This window comes from Homo sapiens, chromosome 3 (genome assembly GCF_000001405.40).
Source record: "Homo sapiens chromosome 3, GRCh38.p14 Primary Assembly".
Taxonomy (NCBI): domain Eukaryota; kingdom Metazoa; phylum Chordata; class Mammalia; order Primates; family Hominidae; genus Homo; species Homo sapiens.
The window spans coordinates 10,337,544-10,364,028 of NC_000003.12; the positions used below are offsets into that span (position 1 = coordinate 10,337,544).

Here is a 26,485-nt window from a genome sequence, read left to right on the forward strand (position 1 = left end):
GTGGCAGCCATGCTCTCTCTGCTCTGGGGAAGAAACCTGCTTCTGGCTGGCTACGCCCTGCACCTGTGCTCCCCTGGTGTGCTTGGTGTGTGCATGTGTGTCTGTGTGTGCTTGAGGATGACTGACCTTTGCTCCCCAGAGCCTCTCCACCCCCTAGGGGAAGCTGGGGAGAGCAACTGAAGCCCCCGTGGAGGCGGCGGACCCCCTGACCACCACGCCCTGGGGGACCCTGGGCGACCTGGCCTGCAGCTTCTGTCCAGCCTCACACGGCCCCTGTGGGTGGGTGCCCCCAGCCCTGAGCGACAGTCCCCTCACTCACCTCTGCCCTCAGAGCCACCCTTCCCCACCCTCTCAGGGAAATCCCCCTGGAGACCATGGTGGGTGTGACCCCTACCACTTCCCCGTGCTGCCCTGAGAGGGCACAATGGGACCTCTCTGAGGAGGCCGTGCTGTTCCTTAGCAGCCACAGGAGTGGGTGTGCAAGTGGCTGGTGAGAGCTGGCCGGGACCCCTCTGTAGCCACCCTCCCTCAGCACCAGAGCTGGGCCCTGGGGGGCAGCACAAGCACACTCACCTCCATCCCCTGGCCCGCCCCGGCCAGGCCTGGGCCCAGCCCCCAAGAGCCTCCTGTACCTGTGTCTGGATCCGATTCAGGCCTCGGAACCACAGGATCTGGCCCCGCCGCAGCTCCCGCTCCGCGTGGTCGATCTCCTCCACGTCCTCGTTGAGCTCCTCCTCCGGGATCTCCTCCTTCTGTGTGAGCCTGCCTGCCTCCTTGAGGAACTTGAGTCTGCTGGTCGGGATGGTGGCGATGACCTGCAAGGGACCCTGTCTGTCAGGACGGTGGGGCTGTCCTTCCCAGTGGCCTTCTCTCCCTGACACCCGCTCCTCTACCTCCCTCCTCCTACCCGCTCACCCAGGCATGTGATCAATCTACTCCTTCACCCACCTCACCTGTTCCTCAGCCCAGTCTTTGACAATGTCTTTTTTTTTTTTTTTTTTTTTTTTGAGATGGAGTTTCACTCTTGTTGCCCAGGCTGGAGTGCAATTTGCTTTTTAATTCATTCATTCAGAGTCAGGGTACATAGTGGACAATCTTGGCCTCTAGGAGTTGGACAGATGTGGCTTTGAATACCCCAGACAACCCTGGTCCTGTGGCCTCGGGCAAGTCATTTAACCTCACCGAGCTTTGGTTTTCCTAGCTGTAAAGTGGGGGCCGCTCTGGGCATGGTGAGAACTGGGCACGGTGGAGGGTCTAACTCGTCCTGCATGAGCCTGGCCCGTGGCTGGCCCTCGGTTCTCCTGGGGTTACTTATTCCTCTGTCCCTTATTCCTCCTGAGGTCACTGGACCCTGAAGGCAGCCAATCCTGGACTGGGAAGGCAGAATGGGAAAGAGCTATGCCTTCATTCCTAATCTTCCCCAAAAGGCTTGTCCATGGGGCTGAGGACCCAGACGCAGGCCCTACAGGAAAGCTGCGGTGGCAGATATCAGAGGCCCCTTCCATTTCCTGTAGGAGCAGTCAGGCGCTGGCATGAATGCAGCCTCAGGGGGCTCCCTGGGAGTGTAAAGTCAGCACTGCCCGCTGGCATTAACCTTTGTCCTCTGAATCCTTCCCTCAGTTACTGGGCCCAGCCCCCAAGAGCCTCCTGTAGGGGGTGGGCCCCAGTGGGATAAAGATGGCCTGGCCCCCAGGGTGCCCAGGGGTTTATCACTCTCCAAAGCAGCCCCAAAGGTTACAGGAAGTCCTTTTGGATGAAACTAAACTTTCTTATTTATCTTTTAGTTAATTTTTGCCCCCGTAGCTTCTCACTCTAGCCTGCAGACAGCTTGAAGGCAAGAAAAATGCCTCCCACCCATGGGGTCCCACTGCCTGGATGTGTGAGCACCTTGGGAATCAGGCCCCTTAGGCCCTGAGTTGGTTCTGGGCCCTCCTCCCAAGCCCTGTGTCCTGGGTCAGGAGCCTTTGGGCTGCATGCTCTCAGAGCTGTGACAGGGTCTGGAACTTGGGCAAACGTAGAAAAACGAATTGGTGGGAGAATATTCTGGGACAAAGCTGGAAGGGCCCCTAAAGAGCATCCAGCCCAAGGAGCCCCAGAGCTGGGGCAGGCACAGCACTGAGGCCACAGATGGCCACAGGCACAGCACTGAGTAACACCGCAATGTGGCAGAGTGTGTCCTGCTTGCGTTCCCTCTGAGTGCTCTAAAGGATCCTGATTGACGCCAGCCGGCCACCAGCGCCCGCAGACCACTGATTCATCTCCCTTCCTAACAAGCTGCTCCAGCCTTGAATCCCTGGCAGGCCATGGCTTCTAGCTGGAGTTTAATAATGTCATTCTCATTACATTAATGTTTTTGTTAGCTTCCATTTATGACAAGTGATACTGATTTTTCAGTTGTCTTAGTAACAGGACGTTGCCTTTAAAAACAAATTTAAGTTAAAAAAGCTGACGTGATTGAGAGAAAATATTACATAAACAACAGGAGCAGTGGTAGATAGATATAAGGCAAAAATCAGAGCAGTAGTACCCAGACGACCAGTATAGGACCTGGGACAAACCCCCTTGCTCAGATGTCCAGAGATAGGGAGGAGCTTGCCTGGGGTCTGGCAGCCCATTCCTGGGGGTCCTGGATTCTCCATCCAGTGCTGTCTCCCTTGCCCTGCTAACAGGCACCTCCTGCGACCTACCAGGAACTTACCTGGCCCCAAACGAGCTCTCCTAACCCAATGAATATGCACCACATCCACTGGTCCAGCTGCAGTGGAGAGCAGCTGAATGGCTTCCCTCCAAACTGCACGATCACTATCTGGAGGTCACAGGGGAGCAGAGAAAGAGAGAGAGAGAGGCCATCAGGGACCAGCACAGAGGGCTGGGCTCTCAGGGTCCTGCCCAGGGGCTCCAGCCGCTTGCTGCCCACCCCGGGCCTGGTTAGGGTGGGGGCCTCACTACCTGGATGGCAAAGGTGCCCAGCACGATGGTGCAGAAGATGGGGTTCCGGAAGATGCCGTCAAAGACATTGCGCTCGCCGTGGATCTTGCGGGCGTTGATCTCGTTGAAGAGCTGCATCATGACGAAGGTGTTGAAGATGATGGTGTAATGTTCTGAGGGTGGCGAATGCAGGGGCGCGTTCCTCCCGCTGTCGATCTGGAACATCTTCTCGCCTGCCAAGTGAGAGAGTGGGGCTGGGCTGAAGGCAGTGGTGGGGGAATCAGAGGGGAGATGCCTGGCCTTTCGTGGGGGCCTCTTCTGAGCAGTGACGTGAATCCCCAAGACATCAAGGCATGCTTGGACAGTGGGGGGCCAGGGCTGTGCTGTCAGCTGGTCAGAGACTAGGACTGAAGGGTCAGCAAAGCCCTTTCTCCTCTGGGGAAGAAAGGCCTTGGGCAACTGTCTTCCACTTTTTCTGTGGAAACCCGATAAAGGTGGACGGCCGGCTGTGTTAAAGGTGGGCGACATGGCTTCTAAAAAGTGACCTCAGACTGGAAAACTCATTCTGGACTGCGAGGACAGGATACCTGCGGGAGGTTTTGCGCTGCCCCGAGAGTGCTGCTTCTTGTTCCTGAGCATGTCCCTTGCTGAGACCTCTACAAGCTCATGGGGCTGTTACTAGAGATGCCAATTCCTATATGGAGCCCAGGACTTCTGGGCTAGGCTGGCTCTGGACCCTCCCATGTGGCTTCATTCTAACACCTGAGCTGTCACATGGCAGGGCACTGCTGTGTAGACGCTGCTGATAGGGTGTCTGATGCAGTCCTGTATCCTTTTTGTTTTGTTTTGTTTTGTTTTTGAGATGGAGTCTCGTTGTTGCCCAGGCTGGAGGACAGTGGCGTGATCTCAGCTCACTGCAACACCCGCCTCCTGGGTTCAAGTGATTCTCCTGCTTTAGCCTCTCAAGTAGCTGGGATTACAGGTGCGCACCATCACGCCCGGCTAATTTTTGTATTTTTAGTAGAGATGGGGTTTCTCCATGTTGGCCATGCTGGTCTCGAATTCCTGACCTCAAGTGATCCACCCGCCTCGGCCTCCCAAAGTGCTGGGATTACAGGCATGAGCCACTGCACCTGGCCAAGTCCTGTGTCCTTTTGCACAGCTGAGTAAAGTGGTGCCAGGAGGCTTGTGGAGTTTTCTGGGTGTGAGATGTCCCAAGACTACCCAGGGTAGGTGCTGCTCAAGTGGTCAAGCCAGCAAGCCGACCAGGACCCCCGCTCTCCTCTCCTCTCCAACCCCTCCACCTCCTCTGAGTCTCTTCTAGTTCTGCATATAAGTGGCTTCCTCTAAGCTTTTTCATGATAAGTTTTACAACAGTAAAATGTGTCCTGACAACACACTACTTTCAAAATTTATAAAAGGCAACTAACTGCCTTTGAGGAATGGATCCATGCCCACCTCCATCACACTCTGGGCTTTGAGGACAAGTGAAAGGCCAGCTCCGGGAGGCTCCTGTAAGGAGAGAACTGGCCCTGATTCCATGTGGGACTGCGGGCCAGACCCTTCCCCTCTCTGGGCCTCTGTTTCCCCATCTGTGACCTGGGGATAGGCTTTGTTGGGATTGCCTCCGAAGCATCTGTGGAAACCAGGCCAGTCTTGGCCCCAGCCAGACCTGGTTCTGTGCCCAGACTCTTCCTCAGACTGGCTGTGTGCCCTTGGGCAAGTCACCTCACCTCTCTGAGCCTTGGTGCCCTCGTTTGTAATGTGGGGTGGAGGCAAATGTGCTTGCCTCACTGAGTGGAAGACCCAACCAGGCAGCCCAAGTGGAAGCATTGTGAGAGTCGGTGGTGGTGTGAGCGTGTATGCCCTGCCCCAGGAAGCCTTGCTGAGGGTCCCTTCCACGGGGCCAGGATAAGGTGCTGGAATGGGTCAGAGAAGGGGTGAGTCACTCCCCTCCCAGCCTCAGGTGCCTCTGGGGCTGCCATGCAGTGCTTCAGCACCCGGTCAGGGCCTTGCACGGTCTGTACTTGTTGCCAGGAGCTGTCACCAGTGGAGAAAGCCACTGATGGCTTTAGGGTTAGCCAGAGCTGGGACAGGGCCAGGCCCTGTTCAAGACTTGCTGGTGTGACCTTGGGCAACTTACTTGACCTCCCTGGGCCTCAATTTCCCCATTAGCAAAACAGGAGGGGGTTGTGACTCGAGAATGCTGGGTGAGAGCCATGGTGCACCCAGAAGGTGATGACCCCGCCTGGGAGAGGCGTGGGTGGGCGAGGCGCTCACCAACAAAGAGCAGGGTGAAGATGAGGGCAAGCTGGTAGACAGCATGGCCCAGGATGTTCTTCATCATGGTCCTGGAGATGAGCGGCTTGTTGCGGCCGTACGGCTTCCTCAGCAGCAGGGTCTCCGTGGGCGGCTCAGTGGCCAGTGCCAGCGAGGCAAACGTGTCCATGATGAGGTTCACCCAGAGCATCTGCACGGCCTTCAGAGGGGAGTCCTGGGGACGGGCAGGAGAGGGCTGTCACCTGTGCGCCCACCTGCTGCTGTGAAGTGCTGGGCGGGCTCATGGTGTAGTGTCCGCAGGCTCCTGCTGGAGGCTGGAGTCCGACCTGCCCCTTGGCTCCCCAGCAGGCATGGAGTTGTTCTCTGATGCCTTCTCTGGAGAACAGTGCAGACCTGCCCACCTCAGCCACATCTTCCCTGCCAGGAGATAAGTGAGTCCCCCCAGGCCCAATGGCCACCAGCTCCCTGCCTTCTGGTAAATTCAGCTGCATCTCACCATCTTCCCCTCTCCCCTCCAGCCCCCGAGGAGGGGGTCTCTCCTGGCTGAGGCCAAGACCATTCCCACCGCCTCCGGCATGGGCTCCTACCTCCTCCCCCCACTGCCTCCTCCCCCTCGGGCTTTCTATCCTACAAACAGTGCCCGTCCCCCACCCCCCCAATGTCTCCTCCCCTCTTATCCCGCCTTACCTTAAAAAATTATTGTGCGTATCTATGACTCAAAAATTAATACATTTCAAGGTAGGAAATATGGCAAATGAGGAATAGCAAAAGCAACTAAAACTGTCAAGGACCTCACCACTTTTAGGTCACCACTGTCCAGGTTCTGGGAGGGACCCTTTCAGACCTGTCTCTTTGGCTGAGAGGAGCTGGTTCTTCTGTCCCCATCCTTCCTCACACCCCCACGTATCTTGTCCACAGCAGCCAGACTTTGGCCCCTCCACGTTCCCAGAATGCCCTCCGCCCACGTCACCAGCACCTTCTGTGCCACGAGTTGCAGGACCTCTTCTCGGCCAGATGTCACTGACCTCGCCCCTGCACTCCCACTTGTAATCCTGACCCCACTCTCCTGGTCGTCGTCCTCCCTTCCTTTTAAATCTGTGTTCCTGCCTCAGCCCCATTCTCCTCCTCGTCCTGTGGCTTTAGTTACATCCGTCTAGTGGCCTGTGGAACACCTCCTCCAGGAAGCCCCCAGACCCTGTAAGCTCAACAGCCCAAACCCGATGCTCTTCCCACCTCTGTTCTCTCCCAAAGCCCCATATACCTGCATCCCTTCCACTCATCACCTCCCAGGTTTCATCACAGCCCCTGCTCCTGGCTTTCTCTCTCACCTCCTCCTTGCCTCAGCCTCGCTCCCCTTGCCCCCGTCCTCCCCACCCCGGGCTTTCTCTAATTCCATATACCTCAGGGTCAAGTGTGCCCGTCTTCTTATCAATGCTGCATGGCCTCGCCACCAACTCAATCAAAGACCTCAGGCAAACTGATAGTGGTCTCAGAATCTCAGTTTCCCTATCTGGCATCAAGACCTTCTGGTTTCCAAGTTGCTGGGGCCGCAGGAGTGTTCCTCAAGCTGCCACTAGAGGGAGTGTCTCATCCACAGGCCAGGAAAGAGGGCCCTTCTGAGCAAAAGGAAGCCCCCAGCCACCCTCCCAAGGCTCCGATTCTCAGGGCTGGGGTAGCCGGAGCTGCCACCTATATTCCCCCAGCGCAGGAAGCAACAGAGGGGAGCAGTGTTCCAGCGCCACACAGCTCTTGGGGCAGTGCTGCACTCTGGGCCTCTGGGGGCTCCTGTGGGCATGGGCTTGTCTGCCCAGGTGGCTACTGGGAGTGTTGGGCCTTGGGGATCCCCTGGGGCTAAGGGAGACCCATTCTTGCCTCCCTGGCCAGGCTGGTCAGCCCCTGTGGGGAGTATCAGGAGACTGCAAGAACAATGGCAGGTCCCTGGCCAGTCCATCCTCTGAGCCTCAGTTTCTGCCTCTGTAAAATGAGGATCATCACAGTTCCCACCTCATGGAGCTGCATGAAGAAGCAGTCAGTCTGCAGACATCTGGGGCCTGCCTGCCAGGCTCAGTGCATAGGGCTGCTCCAGACCCAGTCGTGGTATCTGGCCAGACTCCTCTGTGACCTTCCCAGTGAGCAAGATCCCCGACTCCCTCCAGTTATCCCCACCTAGCACCTCCTAAGGCACTCCACACTCCAGTCCAGAGCCAGGGCCCCAGGGCCCCCACTGGCTCTTTGTCCTCACCTGGATGCCTGATCCCCCTTGGGCCCTGGCCTGCCCCTCCCTGCCTCCCTCTGCCCTCGTGGTGGCCAAGGGCCCTGCCTTCTCTTGAGGATTCCCTCTCCTGCCTCCTGCAGTGAGGGCCAGGCTGTGAGCCTGACAGCTCCCATTTGCTGGGTGACCTTGAACAAGTCACGCCACCTCTCTGAGCCTCATGTCCTCGACTCCCCTGGGGCCAGTGCCTGCACCTGAGCTCTGTGATGCAGTTCCTGGCCCCCAGCAGGTGCTCCATCGATGGGTGCCTCATCCCCGGCTGTTCTGACAGGGACAACCTGGAGTACCCTAAGGCCCCCGAGCCTCTGTGGGGGGTCTCCGCCCTCCCCCAGGCTTTGGTGTGGTCTCCTGCGGACCCACCTGCGTGATGCAGGCGCCTGTGAAGGCCACAATCACGGCCACCACGTTGACGGTGAGCTGGAACTGCAAGAATTTGGAGATGCTGTCATAGACGTTGCGGCCCCACATCACTGCCTTGACGATGCTGCTGAAATTGTCGTCTGTCAGGATGATGTCTGAGGCCTCCTTGGCCACGTCAGTGCCTGCGATGCCCTGTGGGGACAGGGACAGGAGGCTGGGTGGGGTGGCCGGGGGAGGTGACCACTTCTAGCATCACCATCCTCACTCCCTCCACTTCCTCAGTCCTACACAACTCCCAGTGGGCCCAGCACAGCCAGACCACACAGGGACACCCCACTCTTCACGCTCCTCACAGACCCAGCTCCCTTCACCCTCAGGAAGCCTCACCCTGGCCCCCTCTCCCCCTCTGTTATCTTCCTCCTCAGCCTGCAAGTGCCCCCCTTCACACAGCTCCCCCAGAGCAAGAAGCATCCTATGCCTTTCCAGGAAGACCTCGGGGTCAGGCTGAGTCTCGAGAAGGGTGGGCACCCACGGCAGATGGCGGGTGGGCCAAGTGTGAACTGGGGCTCCTGAGTAGCCAGCCCAAGGTTGTGTAGTCCAATCTCCCCAGCCCCCACCACCCCAGGCCCTCTGTGGGCCGTTCCTACCATGGCGAAGCCCACGTCGGCCTTCTTGAGTGCAGGCCCGTCGTTGGTCCCGTCCCCCGTCACGGCCACCACCTGCCGCTGCTCAGTGTGTGTGCTGTCGATGATGCCTGTTGGGGCAGGAGTGTGCTCAGGCCCTGGGCCACTCAGGTGGGAGGCAGCCTGGGCCAGCCCTGGTCCTCGGGAGGGGCCTGGCTGGGCATGGCTTCCTCTCTGGTCCCTGTCCAGCCGCCCCCTCCATCCAGGCTCTTCCCAGCTCCAGGCTGGCCTATAGCTGCCAGCAGGTTACAGTGGGCTCCTTACTGGGCTGGTGCCGACTTGGGGCCCCCTGTGGCCCGGGCCCTGCTCACCTCTCCAGCCCCCTCTTTGCTGTCTGCAACCTGTGGCCACATTGGCATCCATCCTAACCAGAAACACTGTATCCTCTAACTGTGCTCAGGGCCCCCTCTGCCTCAGCAGGGCTCCCAGGGTTTCAGCAGGACCTCACCATCTGTTCCTCCCGACACCACTAGCCAGCACTTTCTCCCTGGGGAGTCCAGGCTTGCTGAGGAGGCCTTGGCTTTGTCATTTGCCAGTGACCTCTGCCCCACCATTCTGGCCCTGACCTCCCTCCAGACATTCATCTTCAATAAAACATTCAACGAATAACAGAATGAACAAATGACATGTGGCCCCAGTCACTGAGCTGGGGCCAGTGGAAAAGGGTGGGTGAAGGATGTCATCGGTGGGGACCTGTGGAGTTTGTGGGACTCCTCATTCATGGGGCTTGCGAGCAGGGATGTCCATGGGCACGACAGGAATTTGGGTATCAGCATCCATGGGTCTCTCATTCTGCACATTGAATGTATCACCAAGGCCTGCCAATTCTGGCTCCAAAATCCCACTGAAACCCTTCCTTTTCTCTGTCTCCACCCTCTGCCACCAGCATCACTTTGTTTCCTCTCACTGACTCTGGACTCCCCCTCCAACTTGCTTCCCCACAGCAACCTCAGGATCTCTCTAACACCCATGTCTGAACCAGTTCCGTCCCCCAGCCATCCCCGGAATGTCGTTTTCCTGCTTCCCCCCTTGGTCTCAGGATAACATCCATGTTCTTAGCTCCACTTATGAAGTCCTCTGTGACCAGGCCTCACTCACATCCTGACCTCTTCTCTTCTCTCATCCCCTGGCCACCCCCAATCTGTGCTTACGGTCCCACAGAGCTAGCTCTCACTGGCCCTGTGTCTGGGCAGGCTGTTCCCTTGGCTGGAGGTACTCCTGTCACCCACCTGTACTGTATTTTTGGCTCAGAGGCTGCTTTTCCCAGGAAGCCTTTCTGACCCTCTGAGGATCCCTGCCTGCCCTTAATCAGATCCATGTAACTCTATGTGCTGCTCCATCCTTGCGCATCTCTCTGCTCTGTGCCTAGCAGACGGCAGCAGCCTGTGGAATGAGGCGCTGAGTTCCATAACCTGGGGCACTGTGCCCCCAACCTGCTCCCTTGCAGCTCTACCCTCTTTCAGGCCCAGCTGCAGTGCCGTGTGTTCTGGGAATCGTTCTGGGCTGCTCCCACCCAGCTGTCGGTGACCCCTCAGTTCCACCGTCCTGGACTCAGCCTCCCCAAGCTTGTCCCCTTGGGACATTAGGCCTGAGTTTCCATAGTTCCCTCAGTCAGCCTGGGGGCTCCTCCAAGGCAGGGACGGGTCAAATTTCTGCCCTGTGGCTCCCAGGTGGTGCGGACCGTTGCGTAGCTCAAGCTGTGCGGAAAGCTGGGAGGAAACCTCTCCCTAGACGCCTCCCTGCCTCCAGTCCTGGGGTGGCCTGACTGTGTGCAGTCACCAGGGGCCTCCCTGTGGCTGCTTCCTATGGTCACATTTCTGTTCTGTCCCCGCAGACCTCTCAGCAACTATTTCCACCATGGACCACACCTTCCTCCTCCACAGGCCTCCTTCCTTGTCTTCCCGGCACCACTCCCCACTGACCATCCTCCTGCCCCTCTAGCCTCCTCCCCTTGGCCTCCTCTGTAGGTTCTCAGCCTGCACCATCACTCGGGCAGCTCTTGGCTTCTGCAGCTCCTCTCTCCCCACCCACATGTGCCACCCAGGACTCTGTCTCAGGCCTGCTCTCCCTCCTCGCTCGATGTCCAATGCTCTTCTCCAACAGGTATAGACTGATGGGATCCCAGACCCTCCTGCTCCTCATCCCTCCATGACATGCAAACCACCACCCAGCCCAGACCCCTCCACTACCCAAACTTTCTCAGACCCGCACCTGGCAGCTCCACTTGAGGTGTCACCACTGTGGGCAGGTGACAACTCTTAAGCAGGACAATCCTACAGGTCCCTCCACTGCCAGGCCGTGCTCTGCACTGCAGGGTAAGTTTTCTAAAATGATGCTTCTACCCTCTAAACCCTCCCATGTTCCTGTGCCTGGTGACACGGTGCAGGCCATGACGGGGTGCTCGTGGTGGGCATTGGCGGCCCTGCAGGATCTGCTGCCCTCCCACCTGCTCCAGTCTCCTGTAGCTTCCCTCTCCCACCCCGAGGTCCTGGCCCAGATCCTTGAAGGCATCTGGGGATCTTCTGCCTCTAGCCCTTTGCAGAGCAGTTCCCTGCCTTGCCTCAAGCACAGGCCCTACCAACCCTGGAGCCCATCCCACCTTCCATGGCCTGTGACCTAAAGCCTCCCTAGTCCAAGTTAGAGGCAGTGTTGGGTCCAGAGCACCCCATGCCAGCAGTGCAGCCTTTTGCTCTATGCAGGGACCACTTATTCAATGCCTGCTGCGTGCAGCCTGGCCCATGAATTCCACGTGGGCAGGACCAGGCCTGTCCTGAGCAGGGCTGGCACCTGGCAGGACCTCAGTAAACAGTTATGGAGAGAATGAGTGAATGAATAAGAATAAGGATGGGCTGGGCGCCTTCTGCTCCCTTGTGGTTCTGGGGTTCTGGGTTTCTCTCCCCAGGCCAGATCTGCTTCCATTAATGTCCTTGGGCAGCACCTTTGAAAGAGGAATCCAAGATGTTCTAGGGCTGATCTCCAGTGGAGCCCTGCTCCCATAGCCATTTTACAAATGAGGAAACTGAGTCCCAGAGTGGGATTTGCCCAAGGCCACAGAGCAGGTCAGTGGCAAAGCCAGGACCACGTGACTCTAAAAATACCCAGTTGGCTGGGCACAGTGGCTCCTACCTGTAATCCCAGCACTTTGGGATGCCAAGGCAGGAGGACTGCTTGAGGCCAGGAGTTTGCAACCAGCCTGGGCAATATAGTGAGACCCTGTCTCTATAAAGAATTAAAAAAAATTATCCAGGCACGTTGACACATGCCTGTAGTCCTAGCTACTTGGGAGGCTGAGGCAGGAGGATGGCTTGAGCCTAGGTGTTTGAGGTTGCAGTGAGCTATGATCACACCACTGCACTCTAGCTTGGGTGACAGAGGGAGACCCTGTCTCAAATAAAATAAAATAAAAATAAAAATAAAAAGTGCCCAGGACCTGGCCACCTAGGCTCAGCAAGTGGTGTGCCCTCCCTCTGGAGGGAGGAGCAAGACTTTGGCTTTTGGTCTCATCCCTCAGGTGGCTATTCCCAGGAGAGCGCATCCCTGAGGTCCTGGTCACAAACGTTGGTTGGGGGCCTCAGGGACCAGACAGACCAAGAGACTTAAAGCTCTGAGACCAGACTGAGAACGAGTGAAGTAGGCTGAGTATCAGACAACAAGCAGCAGTAAGGACTATGTCAAAGGTGAGAGAGCAGGGTCTGCGTAGTCTTTCAAATCCATCATTTAAAAAGGCGCTGTACCGGCCACATAGAACACGTCTGTGGGCCCCATTCAGCGCTGAGCCAGGAGTTTGGGACCCCACACAGGCCCAGGTCCATTGCTTCCTAGGGGAGTTGGAGGCCCACAGAGAAGACTTAGCCCCATCTCCTTCTGGCCCCTTGCAGGCTCCTGGGGCTGAAAAGGGGGTGACATAAGGCTGTGCCCAGGTGTGGAGAGTCAGGGGCGAGGGGCCCTTCCCTTCTGGGAAGAAGCTGCAAGTGCCAGGAGAGGAGGGCCCAGCTTCTGGCCTGGTGCTGGGCTTCAGGATTGCCCGTGCCCGCCCAAGTCTTACCTTTAACCAGGGTATGCTTGTCCGTTGGGGAGGAGCGAGCCAGCACCCGCAGCTTTGGCCAGATCTTGTCAATTCGCTCCTGCTCAATCTGGAGAGGGATGGGGAAGGGGGCGGGTCGGTGGGGTCGGGGAGAGAAACTGAGGCCTGGAGAAGGGAGGGGACATGCCCAGAGTCACTGGGCTCTTAGCAGCACACTGGCTGGCTTCTGTACAATCATGCAGCACCCTACCTCCCAGCTCCCATCTGAGCGCGTTCCCCTGAGGATGCTTTACGTTGGGACACGCACCTCCCCCTTCTCGTTGCGGATCCTCCTGTTGAACTCCTTGCCCTCGAGGCACAGAAAGTCCTCCCCAGGATGGATGATGCCACACTTGATGGCGATGGCCCGAGCCGTGTTGATATTGTCGCCAGTGACCATGCGGACCGTGATGCCTGCCCGCTGGCACTTGCGGATGGCTTCTGGGACCTGGGCAGGAGGGCAGGGGCCATGGGGGAGGGCACCACCTCAGGCAGACTCCCCCTGCCTTCATGGATTCCAGAGGAGCCCTTCTCACAGGCAGCTCTACTGAAAGGGGACTAGATGACTATGAGATGCTGATGACGCACATGGCATATGGGCCACAGCCTCCCTTCCTGTGCCAACGGCAGGCATTGTTAATCAATCACACATCCTTTGATTAAACCCTGATGTGGTTCTCATCACAGAGTCCCAGGTCGCTACCACCTATTGACCATGACGGTCCATCCTGAGACAGAACCATTGGCTGTCTCGACCTGGGCGAAGACTTTGGAAAGACTTCCATGAACGCCTCCTCAGATCTGGCCCCAGGTAAGCTTGGCCAGGTGAACTTCTCTTTGCCTCATCCACATACATAGTTCCTGCAAACTTGACAGATCTATTTGTGTATTTTCAGTTTCTTGGGGGGACATTTGCATTTGGGGGCATTTTACTTACAGAATGTGACACGGATTTAGAATATGTATAAAGGATTATGCTTCAGGTAAAATACGCCATTTCTCTGCAATAATAAGGATAGGTTCTGTCCTCTCTGACTGTAATGACAGACGGATATCTGGGACAATCAGGCCGGATCAGAGCCAGCCAATCAGAAGGCACAAGGCTTCCCAGCCCCGCCCCACCCTACCCCAGCAGCTGGCCCTGAGCAGAGCTGAGGGTTTCCCCGAGGAAACCAGCCTGGAGCTGGGGCACCCCTTTATACACAACAGAAATCAATGGAACGAGTGATTCTTACCCGAGGGCAGTGACAAATAATAAAATAATATTTGCTGCAGAACGTCTTTCAGTGGGAGAGAACATGTCAAGGGCAGGAAATCCAGTTGTTTGGGAGGACCACAGCCTGTTAGAATCTCCAGCCTGGAAGGGCTCAGTCTGACGTTCCCTCCCTGCACACCCCACAGTGACCAGGAGCGCACTCCAGCATCCACCTGCCAAGCCACTGCTGAGGGAGTTGGAAGACTATGGATTGAGTTGTATTCCCCCCAAAAGACAGACTGGAGCCCTAAGCCCCAGTACCTGTGTATGTGACCTTGCTTAGAGATAGGGTCATTATAGTGGTAAATCCAGCTAAAATGAGCGCATCACGGTAAGCCCTAATCCAACAGGAATGGTGTCCTTATAAAGAGGAAATTTCGACACAAAGATATGCAAAGGAGATGCCATGCAGAAATCGGGGTGCTGCTTCTACACTCCAAGGAGGCCAAAGGTGGCCAGCAAGCCACTGGAAGCTGAGAGAGAGGCAGAGACAGCTCCTCCCTATCGTCACTGGAAAGAGCCAGCCCTGCTGACACCTTGGTCTCAAACAGATGTACAGCCTTCAGGACTGTGAGACAGCAAACTGCTCTTGAGCCACTCAGTTTGTGTGACTTTGATACGGCAGCCCTAGAAAACTAGTACAAAGAGTTAGAAGGTGGGGCCAAGCCTGACTGGGACAGCTCCTGCCTGGGGTCTCCTTTCTGCCTTCAGCAATGGTAAAAACAAGGAATCGGCCTTGACTATCTCGCCTGTATCCACCCCATTCACAGCACCTGCCACTCCTTCAGCCCCCACCACCATCGTCTCAAGCTGGGTCATTGCCCAGCCTGCCTCTGGGCAGGAGGGCAGGGGCCATGGGGAGGGCACTACCCTCCCTGTGTACCCTGTGCAGAGGGCACTGCCTGGCCCCTCTTTCCTTACCCTGGCCACCAGTGACCTGCCTGAGTGTCAGCCTGTGGGGCTGCTCTCTTTCAGGGGTTCCACCCTGATGCCTTCAAGAGGAAACCCGCAGTTCTGAGCGTGGCTGTCTTGTGGCGTGAGGAACGGATGCTCTAGAGGGGCAGGGTCCCAGTAAGGAGGCCTCTCTAGCTACTGGAGTTGTCTAAGAGACCGGCTCTGTGGTGGCAGGTAGTGATCTCCCCGTTGTTGAAGGGTTAGAGCAGGGCCAGCTGACCACCAGCCTCCTCTGGGGCTTACTTCCAGGGCCTGGGGAGAAGCCTTCCAGTGCCCACTCGGGGTTTGGGGGCCACGTGAGCAAGGCCCCTGCCTCGTGCCACAGCGGCTAATCACATAAGCAAACGTGACCTCATTCTTACAGGGCTGGAGGGAGTGGGAATGTGGAATGTCCAAGATCTTGTTTATATAACTTACTAACATCCTCATGATGGCTGTAAACTGGGCTGTGGCCCCCTGCTGTCTCCTGCCCCTGAGAACAGCAAAGAGCTGCTGTTTCCTGGGAACGCACACCTTATCTGGCTCCTGCCTCCAAAAGGAGGAATTTAGGTTCTTGGTTTCAAAGACGCTGGAGGACTTGGAGTTGGAAAGGGTTTTGGGTCATTGACTTTGACCCTCTGCCCATTCCCTAGATCCGTTCCCAGGTGTCCTCAACAGATGGGCTGGTCAGCCTCTGCTTGCACACCCGATGACAGGGTGCTCCCTCCCTCTAATGCCCACTGCTCCACTGTGGAACAAGTCTAGCTGATTTTTTAACACAACCTTTCTTTTTTCAGATAGCAGAGCATCACCCTGTGTCAGACCTGTACTCTGTTTGGAGGCAGGGTCTTTGGCACAGGTCTATACAAAAGACTCTGGGAACACAGAAGGGGGTTTTGTGCTGCTGAGTATAAGGGGGTTTTGTGCTGCTTCAGTGCCCTTTGTGCTACTGAAGGAGCACAGAGGGCACTGTTGCTTTAGAAGAAAGTGGGTGGGGAGGAGAAATCAAGGAGGACTTCCTGGGGGAGGGGATGTTTGAGCTGCCAACTGAGGCTCTGGTTCCTGGCATTGTGCCAGGGCTGAGGCTACACAGATGAACACAGATTAGTCCTGGCCGCAGGGAACTGTCCACTCTGCACTGGCAGAGAAGGCCTGAGGTATGAACGGGCCTGAGGGCCACGCTGCAGGTGATCTGGAGGGGCTGAGGGAAGATGTGGGGTAGGGACTGGAGACCATGAATTTGGAGAGGGGCAGAAGGTTCTGGACCAGGGATATGCTCCTTCAGGCACTGGGAACTGTGGGAAGTTCTGAGCCAGGAATGAGGTGATTGGTGCTGCGTTTTAGAAATACTCTCACTTTCAAGACTGTCTCCCAGAGCCAAAATCAGCCATCTTCTGGGCCTCTCCAAGCAAGCTGGCTTCATGAGAAAAATGAAGCTAATTTTTACGGACCCTATACTTTCTTCTGTGCAGTGGAGAGAGGGCTTGGGGACCAACGGGCTGGGCTGGGCTCTGCTCTAGGGTCTCACATGAGCCCTGGTTTCCTCATCTGTAAAATGGGTACAATAGTATCCACCCTTCAGCAAGGCTGGGAGGAACTCTATGACAGGGCACACAGAGCCCACGCACAGGATGGGCACGTGCACACCTTTTCCAATTCCCTTTTCTCTCATAAATGCAACAGGGCATTCACGAGGCCCCAGCCACTCTGCATCCCTTCCTGCCTTCTTGCCCTGCTCATTCTGTCCCCTCTGCCTGGAATGCCCTTCCTCCCTTAGCCTCTGTGTGTCAAGTCTTTCCCATCTTATAAATGAAATGCTCTCTATTCCTGAAGCCATTCCTGATTCCTGCACCCCAACAGGATGTTTTCTTAAGCTGCTCTCAGGACTTAATTTTGTTGCTCACTCATTTACTTATTGGACAAACAGCTCTGGCGCATCTAACTGCTCTGGACACTGAGGATCCGGAGATGATTACGACTCAAACCCCAGAGGCATCGATCCAGTTGAAATATGCTTCCCACATCGATAAAATTACTGTGAAATTAAAAATAAATAAATAAGTTTGGGAAAAAATGACTTCTCTCGCTAAAATTATCCTAGATATTTCTCACTGAGGGAAAGCAGCCAGGAAATGGGTGCTTCCTGTTTTCATTAAATAAAGGCTTTTAAACATCTGTTGTTTCTGGTGACAGCCGTTGTCTGTGACTCCGAGGGCTTCAAACACCCCCGGATAACCCGGCAAATCCCAGACCGCTGCTCTCCTGATGGCTTTATCAGCACTGACTTCAATCAGCCTTGGAAAATGTACCCACTGTAAGGGCTGGCAGTGGGGTGCTCTGGCAAGGGTGTCTTGATCTGTTCTACCCTTTGGGCTTCTCGTGGGAGGAAGGCAATGTGGAGATTCAACCCCTTGACAGCCAGGGAAACCGAGGGAGGTAAAGATTGTTTTCTTGCAGTTGCAAAATGAATCTTAATGTGTCTGCAGGACCCTAGAGATGGCCCGGGCTGAGGTTTTCCCTCTGGCTGAGCCTCCTAGGCTGGAGGCACCAGGAAGGGAGTTCACCTGTGAGATTTACAGAGGGTGACAAATAATTCTGCATAAAGGGACGAGTCCAGGAGGACAGAGCTCTGGGGTGCTTGACAAAAACACGGCCACCATAAGCACACACGTTCCCTGAAGGTCGCCCCTAAAATCTGGGGATAGTGGTTACCTCTGAGGTGGGAACCAGGGGGCTAGAGGGGGCAGGAATGACCTACCTAAAAAACAAACAAATAAACAAAGCCATACCCACCCGTCTCCTTGGGTCCTGCATCCATCCCGCCCCACTCGGAGGTGCTGAATCAACACGTCTGAGCTCTTATGCTTGCACGTGGTGTCACCTGTAACCCTGCTGTGTCCCTCACTGTGAATGCTGGACAGTCTGATTCTCTCAGTTTTCAAGTGGGGAAACTGAGGCCATCTGTGAGGGAGTGGCAGGGGCAGAATTAGAACCCATGTCCCTTGAGTCTGCTGTGTCACTTGAGTAAGTTGCTGCTGTGAGACAGTTTATGACTCCTATATAGACATCCCAGGGGTGAGCCAACAGGAGAGAGCGTGGCCCATGTGGATGCCCTGACTGAAGGAAGTGAGGGAAGATGGGAGGGTAAGTCTTCCAGTCAACTATCGCTCTCTCTGGGGACGTCAGAGCTTGGGAGGGACCCAAGGGGCACCTGGGCTGACCTCCCATTTCATAGCTGAGAACACTGAGGCTCAGAGAGGGAAGTGGCTCGTTAGCGGCAAAGTCGGGGTTGGGGGTTGGCTCCAGGCCCCCCTTTCCCAGAGTCTGTGCCTGCAGCTAACTTCTCTGGATGACCATGCTGTCAACAGAAAATGCCAGGAACCCAGCTCTGCCCCCTCAGGCCCTGGGCATGGGGAGCTCTCATCCTTGTCCTCGTCTGCTCATCCTCTTGACTTAGAACTACTTGTCCTTTCCGGCCGGGCGCGGTGGCTCACGCCTGTAATCCCAGCACTTTGGGAGGCCGAGGCGGGCGGATCACGAGGTCAGGAGATCGAGACCATCCTGGCTAACACGGTGAAACCCCGTCTCTACTAAAAAAATACAAAAAATTAGCCGGGCGTGGTAGCGGGCGCCTGTAGTCCCAGCTACTCGGGAGGCTGAGGCAGGGGAATGGCGTGAACCCGGGAGGCGGAGCTTGCAGTGAGCCGAGATCGCGCCACTGCACTCCAGCCTGGGCGACAGAGCGAGACTCCGTCTCAAAAAAAAAAAAAAAAAAAAAAAAAAAAAAAAAAAAAAAAAAAAAAAAGAACTACTTGTCCTTTCCTTTGTGCGTGTGTGCGTGTGTGTGTGTGTGTGTGTGTGTGTGTGTGTGGCAACCAGGCAAAGGCCCTGAGGCAGGGAGGCAGAAAACCTGTTCTAATCTGGGTTCACTCAGCCACTTTGGGCACATCACTGTCCCCCTTTGGGCTTCGGTGTTTTCTTCTGGAAATTGGGGTTTGTGCGGGAAGGTGTTTGGACTAGATCAGTCACTCAAACCTCAAGTCATGCCCTGTTAGTGACGTGAAATTTGTTTAGTGGGTGGTGACCAACATTTTAAAAAAGAAACAAAGAAATAGAAGAACAGAAAATAGGTAAGTGCATCCCATTATTTTGTGAAATTCTTGCTTTGGTGAAATGTGTGTGTTTACTGAGTCATGACATAAAATACATTTCTTATTGTGCGTCATGGTCAAATAACAGTTTGGGCCTGCCTGTGTCTTCCATTCACCTAAGGGATGTTTCCAAGGCAGGGTGGTGAGCCAGGAGCTCTGGGAGGGCCCGGGAAGGGGGAGGCTGTGGGGTTGGGAAGGACAGGGGAGCCACAGGGTGTAGGCAGGCCAGCCTCAAGTGCTGTGCAAGGATGAAGAGTTTTCAGTAACGAGATAACACATCACAGTGAGGCCTGAACCCATTAGTGGCTGGTAATGAGCAGGTGTCCCACAGGGAGGCTGATAAACGGCCTGTCTGTCCATGGAGAGAGAGGTTTGCAGGAAAGCACGTGTGGGCTCCACTGCCAAGCTCCAGGGGCATTAATTGTCTTTGCTGTTTTAGGATCTTGATAGGAGTGAGGAAGCCACAATGACACCCCCAAGGAGGGTGTGTGTGTATGAGAGAGAGAGAGAGAGAGAGAGAGAGAGAGAGGAGCACTAGGCATGGTGTGGAAGATTGGGGTTCCAGTCCCATTCATTCTTATTCATTCATTCCGCAAACACTCATTGAACACCTTTGGCAGGCTAGGCTGTATGTCTAGGGCTGTTACGTGTCCCTGGATCTAGGGTAATGAAATCTACTGAAGAGGGCATGAAGGAAGGGGACCCACGTATGTAGGCCGCCTATCTTGTACCAGATACTCTGCTTGTTGCTCGTAGATGCATGATCTGAGCCTTCATGATATCCCAGAGGGGGTGTGTGTGATACTATTATTATCCCCAGTATGCAGATGAGGCTCAGAGAGGTTATGTAACTGGTTCAACGTCACACAGCCAGCTGTGCCGGCACTCAGGATCACAGATCTGTCTGATGTCTGAGCTCACACTTTGAACCCTCTCCCTGCTGCCTAAAATGTGAAATGCCTGTGACCTCCTAGTTTCATTTTTCTTTGGAATGCAGAATCTTATAACATCAGGGCCAGGAACTTGGAGGTCATCTTGTCTATCCCTTTTACCTTAAAGAGAGGGAAACTGAGGCTCAGAGAGGAGTAGCAAATGGCCAGAGACCCCCAGAGAACAGTGTCAGGGTAGGTCCATTAAGGAGTGGAGGAGGTGGGCCCTCAAAGCATCAGCACCAAATCTTACAGCCAAGGCCAATCTGGACCCAGCCAGGGCCTGGCCAGGGCATCCGGTCTGGACCTAGCAGCTGAGTGAGTCCTGGGAGGAAGTGGAAGCCAGCCCCTCCTGCACGCTGCCTCATGCCCATGGTGCTCCCCTGGGGCCTCACAGTGTGAGCTGACTCACTCCGCCTGCCATGCACCGTTTTGGAGATTCAGGACAGCTTCCTCTGTTCCCCACAGCCTTTCTTCAGCCTGGGAAGCACCACAGACCACACACATCCCATCCTCCCCTGACCCCGGCAGCTCCAGCACTGAGTTCTTGGTCTTCCCCCTTCAGGTGCAGATTCAGCTAAAGGAGAATGAAGACCTACTGTGTGCTGAGCACCCCACTAGGTGTACTGATAGGCATCGCCTCCCTTGATCCTTGTGAAGTGGGTGCTGTCAGCCCCCTTCCCTTCTGCTGGAGAATGTGACCTTAACTTTCTAGCTCTGTTCCCCTGGGAATCTGATAAAAGTAGACTCTCAGCTGTGTTCCTAGGCCAGCTTGCTGGGGTAAACTGGCTGGTAAACTGCATCTGCACTGGGAGAACTATAAATACTGACAGGGACACCACACTTCGGGTTCTCCTGAGTGCAATGCCCTTGCTATTGGGTGTGTCCTTTGTAGGGACCCTGGAATCCATGTTTGTGGATTTGTTACAGGAGATCCTGGCTCCTGCAGGGCAAGAGGTTTCTAAGGCAGGGCAGCCCCTACACCTGTCCCTTGGGGGACCAGAGGGAAGAGCTCATGGTGGCTGGCTGGACAGCTCGAGGACTGCCCCCATGGCAGAGCAATACCTGCTGGCAACCTGTGGGTTCTGTGTCCTTCTGGGCCGACCCATGCCACATGTGGTCTACACTGTTTCTCATGGGCAATCCTCTTATGAGGATCAAGGAAGGAAATCCCCATGGGCATTATGTGGAAACTGAGACTCAAAGAGGTGAAGTGACTTACTCCAGGTCACCCTGGTGGCTGGCCTCCCAGCCTCATCCCCTTTCCCTGAGCTCGCTGGCCCTGGGGCCTACCTCTGGCCGCACCGGGTCCTCGATGCCCACCACGCAGATGCAGGTGAGTTCGTTGAGGATGTCATTCTCATTGTCCCAGTCCGGCTCCGGGCTGCTGGGGAAGTCGCGGTAGGCCACGCAGATAGTGCGGAGCCCATCGCAAGCCATGGGCTCAATCACCTTCTTTACCATCTCGTCCCGGTCGCGGGGCCGGAAGACACGAGGCTCTCCCGCCCCATTGAGGATTTTGCAGCACCTAGGGGAGGATGGAAGGGAGATGGGGAGCCCAGGGAATGCTCCTTCTGAAAGGCTTAGAGACCACCTCCCCACCCTCGTGATGCCCAGCTAGCTGTGGCTGGTCATCCAGTGCCCATCTAGTTCATCCCCCAGGCAGGGTGAAATCAAGCATTCGTCCTGCAATTTTTGCCCAGGCCACTCAGCAAGCGGAGCCCCACTTTGATGTATTATATACTCACAAGATTCATCTGAAATAACACTCCCACAGCTGAAATGGTTTACAAAGCACATAAAACTCAGGCTAGTAGTTCTTGACCCTGCCTGCACATTAGAATTGCTTGGAGGAGCCTTTAATAAATACCCACGTGCGAGCCTTGCCCCAGAGGTTCCAGTTCAATTTGTCTGGGGTGAATCCAGGAATCAATGTTTTTTTAAACACTCCTCAGAGTGATTCCAATGTGTACCCAGGGCTGAGAACCACTGGGGGCTAGACTAATTGCCTCAATGTACAAGTGGGGAAACTGAGGCCAGAGAGGGGAAGGGATTTGCTTAGTTCACCAGGCTTATTTCCAGCACTCCTCTGGAGTCAGAGGAGTGTGGCTAATAATGAAAATAGCTACCATCAACCAACTCTACGCTAAAGGAAATGAAATAAGAGAGATCTAAGTGTGACAATGAGTAGAACTTCCTGATGAACCAGCGGCTTAGGGAGGAGAAGGGGGAGGACTCTGGCTATAGAAATGTTTAAGAGGATATAGTGGAAAACACAGTGGCCAAGGGGCATGCAAGTGAAGATGAGTCTTGCTGGGTGACCTTGGGCAGGGCCCTCTGTGGCTCTGGGTGCTAGACGGCCACTCCAGCCGGGCAGGCTGCTGAGCCTGGCCTGGATGGCGGCCAGTGCTATATGACCCTGACATCCCCAGCTCCCTGCACCAGGGCACAGCCCTCAGCCCCGGTGCCCTGCCCAGCGCTTACTTCTTGAGCACGATCTCAGAAGCCCCCTTGCTGTACATGCGGAAGCTCTCGTCGGGCAGCTTGATGACAGTGCTCATGGACTTGCGCACGGAGTTGAAGGTGTACACTTTGTACAACTTCTCCTCTGGCATCTGGCTGCGCACGGGCTCGTAGTCCTGCTTCAGGTCCAGCACGAAGCCCAGCAGGCCGCACTCCGTCTTGTTGCCCACCTGCCGAGGCAGGGCGCCCTCCTTCTCTGGGGGCTGCAGAGAGAGGAAGGAGCGGCTGGCACCTGGTGGGGCCTGTGTCGGGAGCCTCTGCCCTGGCTGCCACTGAGGCTCTGGGACTGCCACTTAGGTGGTCTCTGGGCTGGGGGCTGAGCCCTCAGGGAGCCCTTGGCCCATCCCCTGCACCCTCAGGGCTCTGCATCCCAGGTCCAGTCCTGACTCCGGGTGAAAGGAGTGAAGCAAGATTAGCTTTTAAAAAAATTATGAATTATTTCAAACATGAAAAAGAGAATGATGTAACAAAGTTACGTGCCTATCATCCAGCTTTGTAGCATCTTAACATTATGCCGTACTTGCCTCAGATTTTTCTATTTTAAGAAGTAAAACATTACAGATAAAGTTGAATCCCCTCCGCAAACCTCTCCCCATCTGCATAATTCACTCCTTGTCCCAGAAACAACTTCTGTCTTAAATTTAGCATTAATCATTACCATGTGTGTATTTAACTGTTAATTCCGAGATAATTGTAATTCACATGCAATAAGAAACAATACAGAGATGCCGTATACCCTTCATCCAGTTTCCCCCAATGTCATCACCATAGTATTAACACAAGTACCACAACTGAGATGGAGATGCTGACGCAAGGAAGCCGAACTTGTGGAGAGTTCACCGGCTTTACATGAGCTTGTGTGTGGGTGTGCGTGTGTATTTTCTATGCAATGGCACCACATGTGAGTTAATGTGGCCACCACCACTGTCAAGATTCAGGACAGTTCATCACAAGGGTCCTTGTACTACCCTTTTTTTAAAGCTATGGTCACCTCTCTCTTCCCCCGACTCCCTGGCCATGGCAACCACTAATCTGTTCCCCGTTTCCAAGCTTTCATCATTTCCAGCCTGTTATATAAATGGAATCATACAGTCTGTAACTTTCGGAGCTTGGCTTCTTTGCTCAGCAGAATCCCCCTGAGATCCAAGCAAGCTGCTGTACGTGCTGATAATCTGTTCCTTTTGATTGCTGAGTGGTATTTCATGGGACAGACAGACTGTCCCTCATGAGTTCAATTAGGTTGAACCAATGGAAACTGCTATTTTTGAATGTCAAAAATGGTCAAATATGGGCAAGTTCATGCAGTTTAACCTAATGAGACTCCTGACCTCAAGTAATCCACCTGCCTTGGCCTCCCACAGTGCTGGGATTACAGGTGTAAGCCACCATGCCCGGCTGTAACTGCGCCCGGTTGTAACACTGTTTCTGAGATTCATTCATGTTTATGGCTCTAGTGTGTTCCTTTTTAACTGCTCTATAGATGCCATGATATGAATATGCTGCAAAGACTTATCCCTTCCCTGAGTGCCTCCCTTATTTCCTTCTCCCCTTCACACATTAGACACACAGTCTTTGGCACCTGCTTCATGCTGGCCCTGTGCCCGCCGCAGGGCCGTGTGAACACCATTAGCTCCTGTCCTGGAGACTCCCAGAACACCAGCTGCATCTCCCCAGCACCTGTCACTTCCTCACATGGCTGCCCGAACACGGGCTGTTTCATGCCTCTGTGCCTTCACCTCTGCTGCTCCTCCCAGGTGGGTCCCTCTCCCTTCCCTGCCAGGCAAACTTCCTCTTGTCCTTTAAGGACCAGCTCAAATATCTCCTTGTTTTTGAAAACTGCCATGTGGGTCTTTCTTCCCCTGTGTAAACAAGCTGAATTCTATTCCTCTCTGGGTTCTCAGGGTCAGTGCAAAGCCCAGCACACAGCAGGTGCTTATTAACTGTTTGCTAGATGGCTTAATGCAGACCAGAGTGGTGGGGGAGACTGGTTAATGGTAAGGACGAGATGCCTCCATATGGGCACTGATGTTGGATTCACAGGAGGCTGTGAAAGTGCAGATTTGCAGGTGGCTCCCATGTGCACCCCCCAACCCCAATGCACACACCCACTCATGCCACTTAATAACATTGAGACAGGTGACTCAGGTGGAGCTGGCTTCAGGGGTGCTGAAAGACAACAGAGATAAACCCAAACTCTAGAGAGATTCTGAAGACGAAATAGCTATGAACACGCCTGTGTCCCCCTGAAGTACCAGATGAACCTCTCACAAGGAGCCCTCTGCATCCTCGTCCTCAGTCTCCCTCATATTACCCAAAAGAGCAGCCCAGACAGGAAGAAGGTGGACTCAGGAAGATGTCAGCATGGACTGGCTGTGCAGGGACAGGGAGGACCCTCTGTCAGCAACTGGATGTATCCCTGGCCTATTCTTCCCTCTTCTGCAGCTAGGGCTCGGGCCCAAAGAGCAGACCCGATTCACATGGGGGGAATACAGGCATTGACACGCAGTGGTCCTGAGACCTGGGGATGCATAGGAAAAAAAAGAGCCTTTGAACCTAAACCAGGTCCTCAGTTTCCCCATCTGTAAGATGGAGAGGCTGGAGCACATGCTTTCTAGCTCAGAGAAATATCAACCCTCTCCTTAAAGTGGATGTGGTGAGGGAGGGTAGAGTGAGGAAGAACTGCAGGTCCCTTGGTGGATGGTACGGGGGCCGTGGATAGGGAGCAAGGCTCAGAGCACCTCCCCGGCTCCCATGGCCATACTGACCTAAGGCATCCTGTGCCTTGAAAAATGCCCCACTCCCAAGCTCTTTGATAGGTTTTACTAAGAAGCAGAGGAATATTTGACACAGCTTCCCATGTCTGAAGTTTGGGAAAATAAGTTCTAAGATCTTCCCTTTCTCTCTGCAGTATGCTGTTATTGTGTGCTATACATATATATACATATACATATATATATATATCTCACACACACATATATATTTGCAATTTTATAATTAACTTTCTGTTGATTTCCAGAGTTTTATGTATTTTCCATAACAGTTTTTTCTCCCTCTACTAATGAAAGAAAATGACGACACAGAGGACTTAAATAAAAATGCCTAATTACTTATTTGCCCAAGAGAGCTGAGCAGTCCTGCCTGCAAAACACTCAGGATTTTATTACCCTCTGTGAAATATTTTAATTTTCCTCTAAAAGGATTTCAAACAATCCGTGGTTGCAAATGGCAGAGCTGCCTCCTCCGTAATTCAGTTTGTTTCCATGAACTTGAGCTCTGAAATTGCCTACGTGCATTACTAAGAATCAGGGACCCTCCCCTTTTCTCTTCTGGCTTTTTGAGATCCTGACAAACCCAGAAGTTTTGCTCCTGCTGTAAAATTTCCACGAGCCTTTTTATCTCCAGGGCTCCAACTCTGTAAGGGAGTTAAGGCATTGGTATTGTTCCTGTTTTGAGGGACGGAGAACAGGCCCTGGGGAGAAAAGGCACTTGCTCCTAGTCAGGGACCTGCAGAGGGTCAGGCCTGGGACTGCCCCAGAGCCCCTGATTCCAGTTCCAGCTTGGTCCAGCACATTTCTTGGCATGGTGTTGGGCCTTTAGGGAATGCTGGGTGCAGCCATGGTCGTACCTTTGAGAGGACAATTCGTGCTCTTGTTTTGGGATGCTGGGAAGTGAATGGAGCTAAGATCAATGAATGATGACTTGAAGAGCTACACGTTACGGATAACATTTGCAAAAATGGGATTAAGAAAAACCATAGCATATATCACCCATTAAGATGGCTACTGTTAAAAAAAAAAGAAACAAAAAATAATGTTGGTGAGGATGTGGAGAAACAGGAACTCCTGTGCACTATTGGTGGGAATCTAAAATGGTACAGCCACTATGGAAAACAGTATGGTAGTTCCTCAAAAAATTAAACATGAAATTACTATATGATCCAGAAAGTCTGATTCTGGGGAATATGCCCCAAATAATTGAAAACAGGTACTCAAAGAAATATTTGTATACTCATGTTCAAAGCAGCATTAATCACAAAGTCTAAGAGTTGGACACAACCAACGTGTCCATCAACAGATGAATGGATAAACAAAATGTCATTTATCCATAC

At 54.3% G+C, this 26,485-nt stretch overlaps 1 protein-coding gene across 17 annotated transcripts in view, besides 2 other annotated features; it reads right to left on the reverse strand.

Moving 5' to 3' along the window:
• The window catches only part of ATP2B2 (ATPase plasma membrane Ca2+ transporting 2), a 384,094-nt gene that overhangs the window by 13,521 nt on the left and 344,088 nt on the right, over positions 1–26,485 (reverse strand). For all 17 annotated transcript variants that reach the window (NM_001438036.1, XM_017006484.3, XM_006713175.5 and 14 more), the window contains 10 exons: positions 22,339–22,580; positions 21,148–21,382; positions 12,855–13,034; positions 12,569–12,656; positions 8,488–8,594; positions 7,841–8,032; positions 5,209–5,422; positions 2,950–3,161; positions 2,699–2,806; positions 633–815 (listed from right to left, as the gene is read on the reverse strand). In NM_001438036.1, the coding sequence (NP_001424965.1) occupies positions 633–815; positions 2,699–2,806; positions 2,950–3,161; positions 5,209–5,422; positions 7,841–8,032; positions 8,488–8,594; positions 12,569–12,656; positions 12,855–13,034; positions 21,148–21,382; positions 22,339–22,580 (1,761 nt within the window). The remainder of the gene's footprint in view (positions 1–632; positions 816–2,698; positions 2,807–2,949; positions 3,162–5,208; positions 5,423–7,840; positions 8,033–8,487; positions 8,595–12,568; positions 12,657–12,854; positions 13,035–21,147; positions 21,383–22,338; positions 22,581–26,485) is intronic.
• Positions 1,744–2,311: an enhancer, noted in NCBI's record as "H3K27ac-H3K4me1 hESC enhancer chr3:10380971-10381538 (GRCh37/hg19 assembly coordinates)". NCBI's record gives its function as "activates a minimal SCP1, AML or CMV promoter by ChIP-STARR-seq in primed H9 embryonic stem cells {active_cell/tissue: H9 hESC(primed)}" and the evidence as "EXISTENCE:reporter gene assay evidence [ECO:0000049][PMID:30033119]".
• Positions 14,833–15,006: a silencer, noted in NCBI's record as "fragment chr3:10394060-10394233 (GRCh37/hg19 assembly coordinates)". NCBI's record gives its function as "represses an EF-1alpha promoter that drives an FKBP-Casp9 reporter gene in an ReSE screen in K562 erythroleukemia cells {active_cell/tissue: K562}" and the evidence as "EXISTENCE:reporter gene assay evidence [ECO:0000049][PMID:32094911]".